Source organism: Homo sapiens, chromosome 1 (assembly GCF_000001405.40).
Source record: "Homo sapiens chromosome 1, GRCh38.p14 Primary Assembly".
NCBI lineage: Eukaryota > Metazoa > Chordata > Mammalia > Primates > Hominidae > Homo > Homo sapiens.
Window position 1 is genome coordinate 111,227,297 of NC_000001.11, and position 16,454 is coordinate 111,243,750.

Below are 16,454 nucleotides of genomic sequence, written 5' to 3' on the forward strand. Positions count from 1 at the left end.
CCAACTGGGGTGATACAGCAAGAGCAAGATCCTGTTTCTAAAAAAATTAAGCAAGCCAGAGGTGGTGTGAACACAGAGAGAGGTGGGGGCAAGAAGAAGGAGACAGATTGGGATGATGAGGAAGGAGATTCAGGGCCGAGGGTGATACCAGGAGGCAGAGCCTGAGTATCACCTCCTTCCCTTCTCCAGGACCGGGTCCCTTTTAGGTGAGACTAGATGAAAAGGGCTCTTCAGCAGCTGACTTCACAGCAACTAATTTCTGACAGGTCAGAGTTGGCATTGCTCAAATCTGGGCTTCATTTCCAAGAAGTTTCACAAGTCTGCCAGGGGAAGTCCCTGGACTTCTTGCTTCTTTCGTGTAGGACAGGCTGTCGAAACCTCAGTGGATAAAAGACCTAGAGAATGTGTATCCCAGAAGAAGCTGGCCAAGGATATGGGAGCAACCACCATGGACCAGAAGTCTCTCTGGGCAGGTGAGCATGGGGTTGATAATTCAGCAGGAAATTTGGTGAGGAAGGAAGAGGTAACAGGTCTGTAGAAGAAGTAATCTTCCTCCTTTCCTGGGACTTCAGTCTTTCCGTTGACCTTAGTGTCAAAAAATTTCAAGCCAATGCAACTGTTGTAGGGGAACCACCTGATCTTTCCTGAATGGACAAAAATGCAGCAGTAGCCAGAACCCTTTGCACTGGCAGGATGTTCTCAGTTTGTGCAGAGGTCCTTCTTGTCCACATTAGAACTGGAGCTAAGACAGGAAAGAGGCCAAGCTTTCTTAGTCTCTTGGTGTATGAGCGTTGTATTGCGAGTCACATCTTTCTTGGGCTCTGCTGTGGTTATATTTTACAACTTTTGGAGAGCCCCACATTTCTCATCTGCAGAATGGTTTATTGAATTTAATGTTTTTTAAACTCTCCCTTTCAACTCTAAAGTTCTGATCCAAAACTCTGGCTTTTGTGGTGGCTGGGAATTGGGATGAGAGTGGGGATGAGGCTAAATAAACAAGGCTATGAGTGAACGGGGGACGTTTACCAGGAGGGGAGGGGAGGGAATATGTCTGCTGGAGGAAAGAAATCATTTATTTGTGTCCATACCTCTTTCACCTTGTCTTACCCTCTCAAGCCATGAAGCCCCCACTTGGCAAGAGCCTTTTGGGTTCCCTGTTGAACTTAGCTGAGCCCTGGACTGACCCTTGACAGGGTAGAGCCCGTAGGGAGGCCACACTTTGGAGAAGGGCCTGGAGGCTGACCTGACAGTGGATGTGCCACAGAGAATTTCTCTGACCATTTACTTAGTGAGTGTGTGGAGAACCAGGGCCTAACCTCCCTGCCTAAAAAAACATGTGAGTCATCAAGAGAGAACAGTAGAGCCCTGTTTTCCAGCCCTAAGCTCTGCAGGGGAGGAATCAGCTCCAGCAGCTGTGTCATTGAAAGTTTTCTCTCCTTTTTGGCTGCCCCTTTCTTCACTTTTGGACCCGTAAAGGTTTCAGAGTGAACAATATCCCCAGGCTGGGGGGATTGCAGTTCCAGGAGTCTTGTCCATTGGGCAAAGTTTCTAGGATCCAGGGGTCTGCTCTTTTTTTCCTTTAGGAGGATGTGTTAAGTATAGAATAATCTCACCAGTCTTCCTAGGGTAGATGTCCTATGGAGAAGAGACTGGGCATAATTTCAAACATATAAGTTTAAAGCACTACCAGGGCCAGCTCACACTGCTTATCTTGTTCTAAGAGTTAATTGTTTATACATAGTGGGACCATCTCAATTTGCCTGAGATAGTTCTGGTTCAAGCTATCGTCCTAGGGAAATTATTAATAATGTTCCTTTTTACTCTTTGAAGGGTCTCATTGGACAATAAACTATATGGTCACCCTACCTATATTCAACTCCAGACTGGACTATGAGCTCCTTGAGTGCAGGGAAGGCATTAACTGCATTATAATTTCCCCAGTGTCCTGAGCAATGCTTAGCACAGAGCATATGATTCAATAAAACTTTGTTGGATAAATGAATGAAAAAATAAATTCCCAGCTTGGAACATGTTTCTGCCTAGGAATGTAGAGACACAAGGCACCCCAGGGCTGGGGACCTCAAGGTCCTATAAAGAAACCACAGGCCGGGCGCGGTGGCTCACGCCTGTAATCCCAGCACTTTGGGAGGCCGAGGCGGGCGGATCACGAGGTCAGGAGATCGAGACCATCCCGGCTAAAACGGTGAAACCCCGTCTCTACTAAAAATACAAAAAATTAGCCGGGCGTAGTGGCGGGCGCCTGTAGTCCCAGCTACTTGGGAGGCTGAGGCAGGAGAATGGCGTGAACCCGGGAGGCGGAGCTTGCAGTGAGCCGAGATCACACCACTGCACTCCAGCCTGGGCGACAGAGCGAGACTCCGTCTCAAAAAAAAAAAAAAAAAAAAAAAAGAAACCACAGCAGCTGTGGCTGGGGAGCCCAGATGAAGTGTGGCTCTATCTTGTATGTGAGCACACCCACATTTTCACTGCCATTATCTGGGACAGCAGAACCAGGTTTGGCTCAACAGATTTCTCTTTCCACCCATCTATTGCAGGTGTAGTGGTCTTGCTGCTTCTCCAGGGAGGTAAGTAGTCAATAAGTCACTACCGCCTGGATCTCCTGGCTTGGGTGCTTTCATTTTTGATGTACAGTTTCTTTTTCTGCTACATGCTTTTTCTCTTGATTACTCTCTCCGGTTCTGCCACTGACATATTTATGACACTGAGTTTTTATTCTATCTTTTTGTGTATCCCTTGTTCTAGTTCTTTTTGAGCCACTCTCTCTCTCACCCCTCCCCCATAGCTGGCCTCAATATGTGTGTGTGAATACAAACATACACAATGTTTGTATTATCTGTTTCTCTACTGATCTGTGTCATCCATCCATACATACATACTGAATCTTAGTGCTCCATGGGTGTTTCATATGTTGGTGGTATCTCTGTCTCTCAATGTATTTTTTTTTAAATTTTTTTGAGACAGGGTCTCACTGTAAGGTCCAGGCTGTAGTGCAGTGGTGTGACCATGGCTCACTGCAGCCTTGACCTCCCAGGCTCAAACAATCCTCCAACTTCAGCCTCCTTAGTAGCTGAGACTACAGGCATGAACCACTACACCTGGCTAATTTTTAAATTTTTTGTAGAGATGGGGTTTTGCTATGTTGCCAGAGCTGGTCTTGAACTCCTGGGCTCAAGAAGTCCTCCTGCCTCAGCCTCCCAAAGTGCTGGGATAACAGGTGTGAGCCACTGTGCCCAGTCTCAGCGTATTTCTTAACTGGGGTCTGGGTACTCAAGAGCCAGCACTAAAGGCCCAGGCTGAATGACCCTCAGAGGCTCTGGCAGAATGAGCAAATGATGCAATGGCTGTCTTGGGGAGAAAATTGTGACTTTCTGGACTCTAAGGCAACAGCCCTAGAGTCTCACTGGCTCTCTTCACTCTACTCCAGGATCTGCCTACAAACTGGTTTGCTACTTTACCAACTGGTCCCAGGACCGGCAGGAACCAGGAAAATTCACCCCTGAGAATATTGACCCCTTCCTATGCTCTCATCTCATCTATTCATTCGCCAGCATCGAAAACAACAAGGTTATCATCAAGGACAAGAGTGAAGTGATGCTCTACCAGACCATCAACAGTCTCAAAACCAAGTGAGTAAGATGGGGGTGGAAGCATCCTGCATGGATTTTAGAGGAGGGAAGCTGGTCTTAAGCTGACACTAAGACATACTATCTCATTCATTCATTCATTCCTATATATTTCTCTGGGTGTATTTCTGATCCTAACTGTTCTCACCAGTGCTTCATCCCTTCACTGAACTTCACTTTAGTTCAAACAGCCAGGCCCTAATTGTCCATTTTCTCTACACTTAAGAACTCTGTTCTTTAGACAAAGGCTTCCCTGGCAGCCAGAAAATAAATAATCATCTTATTCTTCTACTTCAGGAATCCCAAACTGAAAATTCTCTTGTCCATTGGAGGGTACCTGTTTGGTTCCAAAGGGTAAGACTACATCTTTATTTTTTGTTCATTTCCCCATGTAATTTTTGATCATCATCATTTTTCCTCCTTCTAAGAAGAGATATTAAACTAGGCTTTAAGAGGTTTTCCCTTGGCCAGGTGGCAAAACTGATCTGAGATTTGTCATAAGCAGAGGAACAGCATTAGGTTTCCTGGGGTCTTTGAAGGAATTCTTCTGGAGCTTAATACAAGCCCAGACACTCAAGGCTTGAGAGAAAGTGGGCCATGAACAATATTCAGAAAATTCTGAATTATTTACATGAATGTTTTTCACTTTATGGATTATAGAATTAGTTTTAATTGGAAAGTGCAATTTTTTTAAAAATCACTTGAGGGTTTGACTTTGTGCCCCGGGGTGGGTTGGATGGGTTGCTTCCATTCAGAAGCCCCACCATGGCCCATAGCAGTCAGTGGAGTACAATGTCTGGGATCATGGCTGTGCAGCCAGATGGCCTCAGCACCATCAGAGCAGCAGAGGAAACAATCAGTCCTGCTTTGCTTAAAATCAAAATAGCTATTGATACAAAGCACACATTCGAAATAATATTTTCTATTCCCATGGAAATGATATCCCATTTACATCAAGAGCTAAATGAAAATACATAAGGATAAATATCACATTTTTTCAATCTTCAGCTACAGTTTATCTAATTTTGAATTTCTTCTGCTTTATTATTTAAAGTGCTAACATCTTAAAAAGTCCAGAGATCTTAAATTTGGCTGAGAGAGTCTTGGAGTTTTTATAGAAATCTGATAGTACAACTTGTGCAACCTGTCAGAAGTCAGTTACAGCCAGAGTAGGCAGAGAGAAGAAGTAGTGTTAGAAGACCTATGTAGATTTCTGCACACAGAAAGAAGGAAGAAAGATCAGGCTACCTAACTTTTTTGGTTCTGTGTTAACTCCTCCGTGAACACCCTTCAATATGAATGGGCTTCCATGGCACCCATCCTTCTAATTATCAAATTTTCTCCCCTTCCTAATACTTGCTTAGGTGTTGATGCAAATAAAAATGTCTTCATTTATTCATTCATTCTTGCATTCATTCATTCATTCATTCATTCAGTAAATTCATTCAGTAAGTAATTGTTTACCAGTTTAGTGGTTGAAAGTAGAACTTTGGAGATAGACGTGTTTGGTTTGGATTTCCCTTTAGATGCATGCAAGCTATGTGACTTTTGTCAAGTTCTTTATGTCTGTATGCCGCAGTTTTCTTTAACTATACAATAAGAATAATAACAGAATTTACCTCAGGGTGGTGTTGTAAAGGCAGGCAACGCAAGCAAACTGTTTAGCATAGTGCCCCTGTGCAATAAGGGCTCAATGGTTGCAGTAATCATTGTTATATGATTATTGTTGTTATTATTAGGTAAATGCCAGGCTTTGTGCCAGGTGCTGTGCAGAATAATTATATATGTGTAATATACAAACTTGCTTCTAAGGAACAAATTAGTAAATTTCTATTGAATGGGCAGCTCTCCTAAAATTGGAGGCATCTGCCCAGAGGCTCAGGTGCAATGGCTTTCTAATCATTGTAAGCACTTTCAAATGCAAGAGAAAAGCTAGAAAACTATTTCCACCGTAGTTTTCTGATATCAGGCCAGTTTCTTGCTATCTCTTCAACTTCAAAGATGAGATACATGCAGGAATCAAAATCTCAATTTAATATTGAGTAAAACAAAATTAATTCAAGGCTCTAAGAAAGCCTGGGTGTGGGAGGTATTGTAAGAGGTGAAAAGTGACACAACTTAAAGGTTATGTCCTCAGGAAAATACCAGTATCTCATCTACAGCTTTGGGTTTAAAATGCTATTGGTGCCCTTGGTGTGGGCATCTGAGAATCAACTTCATGGCTTCAGAATTCTAGTTCAGATGAAGCCCTTGAGGAGCTGCTGATTTCAAGTCCTGTTTTCATCAGAAATCCCGGGGGTGGGGAGATCTGCGTTGCCTATTTGTGGCCGGGATGCTTGTTTGGGGACCATGAAGTCACTGGAGTCCAGTTCTTTTTCCTGGAACTTCCCTAAATGTTATCCCCTTGAGGCACATGAAGCAGGATTAGTACCCTCAGTCCCAATTTAGAGGTGGCCAGACTGGAACCCAGAGAGCAGGTTAATGACAAAGTGGCCATCAATCAGAAAGGACTCTAACCTTGGACTTGAATCTAGTTCTCCTGACCCTAAGCCCACCACATTGCAAACTGCTTTTCCAAGGGTGTAAAGTGTTAAAGAAAACCAAAGCTGGCATCCAGGAGGGAGGTGGGGGGGGTCAGCACCCCGCCCGGCCAGCCGCCCCGTCCGGGAGGTGAGGGGCGCCTCTGCCCGGCCGCCCCTACTGGGAAGTGAGGAGCCCCTCTGCCCGGCCACCACCCCGTCTGGGAGGTGTACCCAATAGCTCATTGAGAACGGGCCATGATGACAATGGCGGTTTTGTGGAATAGAAAGGGGGGAAAGGTGGGGAAAAGATTGAGAAATCGGATGGTTGCCGTGTCTGTGTAGAAAGAAGTAGACATGGGAGACTTTTCATTTTGTTCTGTACTAAGAAAAATTCTTCTGCCTTGGGATCCTGTTGATCGGTGACCTTGCCCCCAACCCTGTGCTCTCTGAAACATGTGCTGTGTCCACTCAGGGTTAAATGGATTAAGGGCGGTGCAAGATGTGCTTTGTTAAACAGATGCTTGAAGGCAGCATGCTCGTTAAGAGTCATCACCACTCCCTAATCTCAAGTACCCAGGGACACAAACACTGCGGAAGGCCGCAGGGTCCTCTGCCTAGGAAAACCAGAGACCTTTGTTCACTTGTTTATCTGCTGACCTTCCCTCCACTATTGTCCTATGACCCTGCCAAATCCCCCTCTGCGAGAAACACCCAAGAATGATCAATAAAAAAAAAAAAAAAAGAAAGAAAACCAAAGCTGGACAGTATTTAAAGCAGTAAAACAGATTTTATTCAGGAAATATTGAAACGGGGAAAAAGACCTCAGTATGGTACTGGGTTCTATTCCAAAGGCAGCAAAGGCAAGTGAGGAAATATAGCCAAAGAGCACGCTAGGGGCAATCAGTGGATGGAAAATCATAAAGAGGAAACACTGGGGCTAGAGGGATGGATTCTTGCTAAACTGATTCAACAGGATTCCTGCCAAAGGATGCCAGAGCGATGAGATACCACCTGGGGGATGGCAGGGGGTGAGTAATCAGGTACCAGGTCTGGGGGTTTCTGGCTAAACTGACCTAGCAGGACTTTTTCTGGAATCGGACACTGCAAAGACAGACACAGAAGCCCAAGATTGAGGTCCAGTTGAGAAGAGGGCTCAGAGAAGCCTACCTAAGTTTGGTCAAGGCAAGAGTCTTAGCCAAAGGCAGCTCCGTTACCCTTAGGAAGGTCTGCAGAGAATCTAGTCTTCCTTTACCTGGCTGGATCAATGTTCCGGCCCAACAATCCTTTTTCTCTCGTCTGTTCCAAAAGGGGAAAGCATTAGAATAGACAAATTGTAAGTGAATATTGGGGAAGAGAAGACTGCTCAGGATTTCTGTGAAAAATGTGTTACACTACAAGTGTTACTTGTTCTTTCCAAAAAGACACTCGTATTGCTTCTTTCCAGGTTCCACCCTATGGTGGATTCTTCTACATCACGCTTGGAATTCATTAACTCCATAATCCTGTTTCTGAGGAACCATAACTTTGATGGACTGGATGTAAGCTGGATCTACCCAGATCAGAAAGAAAACACTCATTTCACTGTGCTGATTCATGTAAGTCATGAATCAAGTAATTCATGTGAGTCAGATGCCACGGTGTACTCAGTACTCTGATATCCAGAATCCATGGCCACATTGGGAGACAAAAAGGAGGAGATTGAGTCTAACAGCCCCAGCCTTTCTGAAGCTCCCACTAATGAGAGAAAAGCCCTGATTCCTATTTTAAGGCAGTAACAACATGAAACAGTGGAGCCCCCTTGCACATTTATTTTGATGTCCTTCTTTTTGATGAAGAACATCAAAATAAAGCAACATCCATATGAAAGAGGGTGTAGCCATAGGATTTCCTGAGTACTGAGGTGGCCTCACAGAAGATCTATCAGATAGATCTGAAAATCTATCAGGTAGAAACCAAGATAGTTATTCCTGGGTAGAGTGAGGCTGGGGTTCTCCTGCCTAATGTGGAGACTTCCTGAGCAGATACAGGCACAAGGCATCCCCATGTGGGGTGGGGAGGAAAGGGTTGATCCTTTCCATCTAATGTGGTTCTAGAAACCTCATAGATTCCAGGCAAGAAGCTTAGCACTGTACTCTGGGAAGGGGAATATTGCACCTCGTTTCTTTGTTTTTCCTAGGAGTTAGCAGAAGCCTTTCAGAAGGACTTCACAAAATCCACCAAGGAAAGGCTTCTCTTGACTGCGGGCGTATCTGCAGGGAGGCAAATGATTGATAACAGCTATCAAGTTGAGAAACTGGCAAAGTGAGTACATCAGAGCAACTTTCCATCCCTCTGCTTCCAATTTGGTCCATGCAAATGATGCATCAGCATGTTTGACGGATGAGGGGAGGAGGAAGAGAGGGAAGGTCATTGTCCTAACCCTGCATCATTCAGCCAGGAACAACTTCTTTACAGAGACTTTCAATCCTTCTAGCAGCATCATTCAAAGCCAAAACAATTACTTACAATTGTTTCTACCACTGCTCGTCACAAAATCTCTCCCATTGCTTTTGGCACTTTAGAGATCTGGATTTCATCAACCTCCTGTCCTTTGACTTCCATGGGTCTTGGGAAAAGCCCCTTATCACTGGCCACAACAGCCCTCTGAGCAAGGGGTGGCAGGACAGAGGGCCAAGCTCCTACTACAATGTGGTGAGTAGGCCAGGGGAACCGCAGGGGTACTGGCTGTGGGGGTGGGGCTGGGGAGAGTCCAGCATGTCTAGAGTTACTTCTGTCTTGAACTGAGGAAGAGCTATGAGCCCAAGAGGGAATTGGGTAGCCCCAGGAGCAAGTGAGTGCAGGAGAAGTGCTTTGACCAGGCACCAACAAAATGTCACCTAGAAAATATCAGAAGTGCTGATAGCTGAAGTGCCCTAAGCTCTGTCTCTGGCTCAGAGTGTCCCCCATCCCAGTCTTCTCTGGATTCTCCATCTTTCATACATTTCTTGGCATCTACACAGGAGAACAGAACTTGTACCTTCCTGTGTCCATCTATATTCCCTATTTAATTCTATCTTTAAAAAAACCCCATGAGGTCAGCTGGGTAGGAAATGTTACTCCCACTTCACAGATGATGAAACAGAAGCTTGGCAGATTCCATTGACTCTTCAAGGTCGTGTGTTGTGAACTTCCTGGTGATGGGAAATGAAAAGTAAAAAAAAAAAAATAATGTTGTTGATGTTGTTCTGGAACATAACTTATCCACCCAATGGGTTCTCCTTGCCCATTGATTTATCAAGATAGGAGAATTGCAATAGAGAAAGAGTTAAAGTCATGCAGAATCAGCTGTATGGGAGACTGGAATTTTATTATTACTCAAATCAGTTTCCCTGGAAATTCAGGGATCAGGGTTTTTAAGGATAATTTTGTGGATGGGGGACAGAAAGTGGCGAGTGCTGATTGGTCAGGTTGAAGATGAAATCATAAGGGTTCAAAGTGGGTTTTTCTCGCTGTCTTTTGCTCTTGTTTGGGATCACAGAACTGGTTGAGCCAGATTCCTGGGTCTGGGTAGTGTCAGCTGGTGCATCAGAATGCAAGATCTGCAAAATATCTCAAGCACTGATCTTAGGTTTTGCAACAGTGATGCTATTCCCAGCTGCAATTTGGGGAGGCTTAGAATCTTGCAGCCTTTGGCCGCATGACTCCTAAACCATAACTTCTAATCTCATGGCTAATTTGTTAGTTCTACAAAAGCAGACTGGTCTCTAGGCAAGAAGAGAGTTTGTTTCTAAAAAGGGCTGTTAATCATCTTTGTTTCAAAGCTAACCTAGAGACTAAATTCCTCCCAAATTGAGTTGGCTTACACCCAGGAATGAACAAGGACAGCTTGGAGGTTAGAAGCAAGATGGAGTCAGTTAGGTCAGATCTCTTTCACTGTCATAATTTTCTCAGTTACAATCTTTGCAAAGGCTGTTTCATATATATGGATGTATATTCCTAAAATTTTGGGAGAAAAAATATCTGTGTTGCATGTTTCCAGGCCTTCATATTCAAAGTCACAAAATGGATCGGTCCAGAGCTAGATATGATTTCTGGTTGGGGTTTTCTAGGCCTTCATGTGGCTAAGTCACATCAGCCTCCTTCACTCCTTCCTCTCTATCAGTTATCTTTAAGGATAAGGAGACATATCTTTGTCTTCTCTAACCCTTTATTTTGTTCTGAGAGCAGGAAAGCCAAAATCAGCCTCTTACCTCCCAATCTGTCTATAAACCAAAAATAAAATTCTAAGCCCCCCAGACATCTGAACAAATCCTTCCTCTTGGCCAAGGGCATTCAAAGTTAATCTGAAAAGTTAATTCAGGTCATGATGGGAAGTTGGGTGTCAGACATGCCTCACAGCTGACCAGCATTAACATCAATACAGAGACCTTAAGACTGATAGAAGAGAATTTCTAAGTCTGATGAGAAACATTTACAATCTAGTCTTTCTGAAGCCTGCTACCTGGAGGCTTTATCTGCATGATAAAACCTTGGTCTCTACACCACTTATCATAACCCAGACATTCCTTTCTATTGACTCCAGGCCTTTACATAATAACTCTTTCAACCAATTGCCAATCAAAATATCTTTGAATTCACTTATGACCTGGAAGCTGCAGCTTCTAGTTGTCCTGCGTTTCTGGAGTGAACCAATGTACATCTTACATGTACTGACTGATGTCTTATGTTTCCCTGAAATGTATGAAATCAAGCTGTAACCTGACCACCTTGGGCACATGTCCTCAGGATCTCCTGAGAGCTGTGTCATGGGCCATTCGTCACTCATATTTGGCTCAGAATAAATCTCTTCAAATATTTTACAGAGTTTGACTCTTTACGTTGACATGTCCCATTGGGTGCAAGGTCATTGTGAGGCCTCATGGACTAGGAATCTGACAGCCACCTTTGTCAGTATTCACAAAGAGCCATTGTGTAGACAAGTTCCACAGGGATTTTGAGTTGACTCAAAAGGGGAAGGAAGATGGTGACAACCTTGATTTCATGTTTTCTAGGTTCCTTGACTGATTTCTTTTGTGATCCACTGTCTAGTTCCTTTCAGAAATTAGAAAAAGTTGCATAAGCCTCTTGCTGCTAAAGAGCATATGTGCATTACAACAAGCACTCTGGTCCGGGGGGTCTGGTCTGTTCACACTCGGATGTAGAAAAGAAACCAGGCAGTCACCTCTGTGAAGTTTGGGATAGAGGCTAAAAAAGGTCTGACACCTTTCTTTCCCCACACTCTGAGCCTCCATCTCTCTTCCCATTCTAGGAATATGCTGTGGGGTACTGGATACATAAGGGAATGCCATCAGAGAAGGTGGTCATGGGCATCCCCACATATGGGCACTCCTTCACACTGGCCTCTGCAGAAACCACCGTGGGGGCCCCTGCCTCTGGCCCTGGAGCTGCTGGACCCATCACAGAGTCTTCAGGCTTCCTGGCCTATTATGAGGTACCTGGAAACCCCCTGTACCCTCAGCTCCCTGCCATGTCTGGGTAGATGTTCCATCTTCAATTTGACAGCAGAGTAAAGCATCCTGAGTGTTGCGAAGGGGAAAGGGCAGAGTACTACTGAACATGTGAGGGGATCTCCTAACTCTGGGTTGGGAGAGGGTCAGGGAATGCTTCCTGGAGGAAGTGAAATAAGCTGGACTCTGAAGAGGAGATGGAGCTAGCCAGGAATGGGGATAGGCAGAGGAGAGTGCGAGAAATTGAAAAAGGAAGACTACCCCAAGTTCTTGATTTGAGCAGCTAAGTGGATGGCAATGCCATTTACAGAGATAGGGAAGACTGGAGGGAGAACAGAGTGGACATTGGTCCTGCTCATGAGATCAGTTTTGGACGTTCTGAGTGTGAGGAGCCCGTGGGACATACAGATAACAGGTGAGTCATTGAATATATGGGTTTGGATCACAGCAGGCCAGTCTGCACTAGAGAGGTAGATTCAAAACTATCAGCATAAAGCTGGTACCTGAAGCCAAACCATACAGTGAGAAGTGAATGAGGCCCCAGACACACCCAAAAACCTCCTACACCTGAGGGACATGCAGAGGAAGGGGAACATATTAAGGTAACTGACAAGGAACTACAAGAGGGATAGGAGGAACCCACCCAGATCTGTGCCAAAGACCTTAGAGAAGTAGGTGTTTCAAAAAGGAGGGAGTGGTCAAATGTGTCAAATTCTGTGCAGTTGTCAGATAGATCATAGGGATAACAAAATTGTTCTGCTAATTATACCATCATTCCTCTCTGCCCTCCAATCTGGGAAAATTTATTTAAAAAGCATAGGGGAAGATATAAATCTAACAATAGGTCAACCAACAGAAACTCTTTGGACACTCCCATATCCCAAACACTGGGTACTGTGAAAGCTAGAAATAAGTAATTATCCATCCTTGTCTCTAAAGGGGTTATTGTCAAGGTGGAAAGAATGTGAAATACAGACATAGCTAGTTAAACAAGAGTTCAAAAACAAGATAACTATAACATTTAATAAAATCAGAGAGGTATTGTAAAACAATATGGGATTCAATGACCAATGAATGGTGTAGAGTGACATGAGATCAGAGATGGGTGACTGGGGAAGGCTCCATGGAAGAGGAGAAGTTTATGCTGGGCCTTGAAGGATTAGTAGAAATTTGATCAGGTAGAGAAAAAAAAATATCATTCTATATCCTGGTCTATCTTTGGAGTCCCAGCCTGACCTCTCATTGTGAGTGTGAACATGCCATCGGCCCATGCTGAATGACTTGGCACCCACCAAGGTACCCATTCAGTGTAATGCTCAATTTTTCCCTTCATCTTACACATAGGAATGATTGGCACATCATCAATTCAATTGGCAACAAGAATGGGACATGGGTCATTGTGAGAGTCCTCATTGAATCTCAGGGTGCCTGATACATAGGAAGTGGGAGAGAGGCTGACCCATCCTTGGGTAGTTCTAGGTTGATAGCAATAACACTCTTAATATAAGGGAGAAGAGAGGTCATTGCTCAGAATCTCCTGGTAGGGTTATAATATCAACCACTAGATATGCACTTCCCATCTCATGGAAAGTTTGATTTGATTGTTCAGTTCATAATGACTCTAGGTCATTATAACTTTGACAGGTTGATATTTGCTTAAATATTCAACTTTCATTTTCTGCCCTCATTGTAGTAAGCACGAATGTAGTTCATCCAAAAAGAGTAATCCTAAATGGATTTTCTATGTGATGTTGAAATGCATTGTTTAATTGAAGATTTATCTTTTTTAGAGCTCTTCCTTATGCTAACAGAAAGAATATAGCTAATGATAGAAGGGGAGCCCCAGGACAGGGCATATTGGATATGGGACGGGACAGAGGAGGAGTAATAAGATTTAAGTGGAGATGCTACAAGATGAGGAATAGTGGTGATGGTCATGATAATACTTCACTTTAGAAGTAGAGCACTTTACTGTTTTCAAAAAAATTTTTTAATGTGTATTAGTTCATTTGATCCTAACAACAACACTGTAAGGTAGATATGTTGAAAGCATTATTATAATTATTTCCATTTTGCAAATGAAGAAATTGGAAGATTTATTGGTCGGTGCTGGGGTCTGATCTGGAACTCAAGTATTTTCTGATTTCTAGCTGCTGTGTCTCCTCCTGATGAGACTTTAGCACAGACACTTCCTAGAGGTTCACCTTGGAACACCCACTTCATATGATATATGTGGTCATTTCTCTCATTGTCTGATCCTTGGGATAAAGGTTCTGATATTTTCCCCAAGTCCCTAGTGGCTCACCTGCCCTGTCTACCCCAACCAAGTTTCAAGAATAACCCATTACTGACCCTCTCGTTTCCCTTTCCCCTGCCAGATCTGCCAGTTCCTGAAAGGAGCCAAGATCACGCGGCTCCAGGATCAGCAGGTTCCCTACGCAGTCAAGGGGAACCAGTGGGTGGGCTATGATGATGTGAAGAGTATGGAGACCAAGGTAGGTGGGCCACAGGCAGATACTCCTTTAGGTGGGGAATGGTGATATGTAGTAAAATGCCTGAATACTCTATGTTCAAAGAGAGAAGCTTCTGAGGCCCCAGACTCTAGGATGGGATCCAGCAGCCTTTATAGCTCAAGTCTAGTAGTGACTCTATGTCACACCCGCGAGCAGCTGTGGTACAGGTAGAAGAGTTGGAAAGGACGCAAAAAAGAATTGAGAACAAGTAAGTTTATTCTGATAAGTGAGGAGTGGAGAGAAGAGTAAGGCAAGGAGAAGGGAGAGGGAATAAAGGAGACGTTGGTGCCTGTATAGATAATCTACTTTGTTAATTATCTCGGGACAAACTGTTCAGTCCTTCTCATGGATTACCTAGCTAGGAGGCTCCAGATTCCTGAGCCTACCAGTTCTTAGACCTTGGTAAGACATTTGTGTTCCTTTCATGGTTAGAACAAAAAGGAGGCTTGAGTGTAATTGACAATCCTGGCCACTTGTCTTGTTAAGGGCTTCCTAGTTTCTTCCCTTATTATGGAGAGTTTTCTCAGCCTCCAAGAATGCCGGACCTTGAGTGTGGTGACTCAAGTCAGAATGAGATGTAGCTAATGCTGATTTGGTGGCTCTCTCTCCCTGAGCAATCTTACCCCTCAGGAAGTCTCTAACTCCAGAAAACCAGTTAGTCTACTGCTGTATTTTAAGCTTAGTCCCTCATCTGAACCTGATATGGTCCTGGGCATTTAGGGGCCACCCTTCGAATCTCTGTGTATCCTTCTGTGTCTCCCATAGGTTCAGTTCTTAAAGAATTTAAACCTGGGAGGAGCCATGATCTGGTCTATTGACATGGATGACTTCACTGGCAAATCCTGCAACCAGGGCCCTTACCCTCTTGTCCAAGCAGTCAAGAGAAGCCTTGGCTCCCTGTGAAGGTAACAGTCCAGGCTGGAGCTGGGAGTGGGCAGACAGCTGGGCAGAACAGGGCACAGGAGACTGGGGGAGATCATCTTCACATATTTGGACTAATCCTTTCTCATGCTCCTTTGGCTCTTCTGCCATGTTTTCTTAGCAATTAGGCTGGTTCTGCCCTTTTCATAGGCTTCCCATAGACTTTTAAAGTAATAATAATAATATTGATAAATTTTGGCTACCATTTATTGAGCATAGTATGAGCTAAAGACTTTCATTACATATATATTAGGGATAAATATTGACACCACCACAATTCTTGGTTACAAAATCATCAGCCTGTCTTAATTTTCTAAATCACAATAAATCTGACTCTATGTCCTCAATTCACTGGACTGATGATAATTTCCATCTCACTCATTACCTGAGGCTCTTTTCCCCCACCCACAGTTGATCTTACTTAGTCTAGACATTTGGGAGCTCCCATGGTCATTATTGCTACGCCTTTACCCAAGCCTCCCTATTACCTTGAAGGTCGGTGGCTTTGCTGCTGCTCCATCCCTGGGCCCCCAGTTCCCTAGGTGCGTTGTATATCCTCCTGTGCAGATGAAGGCTGTTGCTGACCAAACAGTTATGCTGTGATACATTGGTTCTAGGGCAGAGGGTGGAGAAGCAGGGCGCTGGGGCTCACTGCAGACAGACAACTAAAAGACTGGCTCTGCTATCCTGGCAAAGGGCCTAGAACCATTTGAAAACTCCTGATTAGATAATTGGGTAGCAGCCTTCCAACTCTGAGCATCCATTGTTTAGTAACTTGACTTAGGCCTCAGTTTACTGAGTTGGGCTTTGAAATATTTTTCCTTTTGTTTCCAGGATTAACTTACAGAGAAGCAGGCAAGATGACCTTGCTGCCTGGGGCCTGCTCTCTCCCAGGAATTCTCATGTGGGATTCCCCTTGCCAGGCTGGCCTTTGGATCTCTCTTCCAAGCCTTTCCTGACTTCCTCTTAGATCATAGATTGGACCTGGTTTTGTTTTCCTGCAGCTGTTGACTTGTTGCCCTGAAGTACAATAAAAAAAATTCATTTTGCTCCAGTAAGTATGGCCTCATTTATTCAGTCCTTGACCCTGTGATATCAGGTTGTTCTGTCCCTGCTATTTGTGGGATCCAGAGCTAGGGTGAAAACGAAGTTTTGCATATCATGTTTAAATATTAAAAACAGCTAACATGCTGTTAAAATATGACTTATGCTCCAACATTAACACATACAACTTTGCAACCACCTAGAAGGTCAGAACCTGAAAATTTAAAATTCTCAGACTCCTTAGAATACCACACCAGAATTCCCATCTTTGCCTCTGTCTCTCACAGTAGGAGCCTCATGGGCATACTTGTGGACATTGTAGGC

The 16,454-nt window shown here is 44.1% G+C and overlaps 1 protein-coding gene across 3 annotated transcripts, besides 1 other annotated feature; it reads left to right on the top strand.

The window, feature by feature from the left end:
- The first annotated feature begins 362 nt into the window (after positions 1–362).
- Positions 363–16,144, top strand: CHI3L2 (chitinase 3 like 2). Of its 3 annotated transcripts, NM_004000.3 has the most exons (11): positions 417–473; positions 2,556–2,585; positions 3,446–3,647; positions 3,942–3,998; positions 7,611–7,761; positions 8,343–8,467; positions 8,728–8,857; positions 11,454–11,636; positions 14,031–14,147; positions 14,931–15,070; positions 15,921–16,144. In NM_004000.3, the coding sequence occupies exons 1-10, from the start codon at positions 434–436 to the stop codon at positions 15,066–15,068; spliced, it is 1,173 nt and encodes a 390-aa protein (NP_003991.2). In that variant the 5' UTR covers positions 417–433; the 3' UTR covers positions 15,069–15,070; positions 15,921–16,144. The 3 variants fall into 3 exon arrangements, with proteins under 3 accessions (NP_001020368.1, NP_003991.2, NP_001020370.1); NM_001025197.1 differs by lacking the exon at positions 2,556–2,585 and having other exon boundaries at positions 363–473; NM_001025199.2 differs by lacking the exon at positions 417–473 and having other exon boundaries at positions 2,440–2,585.
- Positions 7,228–8,427: an enhancer, noted in NCBI's record as "CDK7 strongly-dependent group 2 enhancer chr1:111777146-111778345 (GRCh37/hg19 assembly coordinates)". NCBI's record gives its function as "activates an origin of replication core promoter dependent on BRD2, BRD4, P300/CBP, MED14 and CDK7 cofactors, with strong dependence on CDK7, by STARR-seq in HCT116 cells {active_cell/tissue: HCT116}" and the evidence as "EXISTENCE:reporter gene assay evidence [ECO:0000049][PMID:35650434]".
- Positions 16,145–16,454: the final 310 nt, after the last annotated feature.

What these genes read in the sequence shown, in the direction of transcription:
- CHI3L2 (NM_004000.3), top strand. Translation starts at nt 434, where the DNA reads ATGGGAGCAACCACCATGGACCAGAAGTCTCTCTGGGCAG. An exon ending in ATTTCACTGTGCTGATTCAT is followed by an intron (nt 7,762 to 8,342) that starts GTAAGTCATGAA and finishes TGTTTTTCCTAG; the next exon opens with GAGTTAGCAGAAGCCTTTCA. An exon ending in GCTTCCTGGCCTATTATGAG is followed by an intron (nt 11,637 to 14,030) that starts GTACCTGGAAAC and finishes TTCCCCTGCCAG; the next exon opens with ATCTGCCAGTTCCTGAAAGG.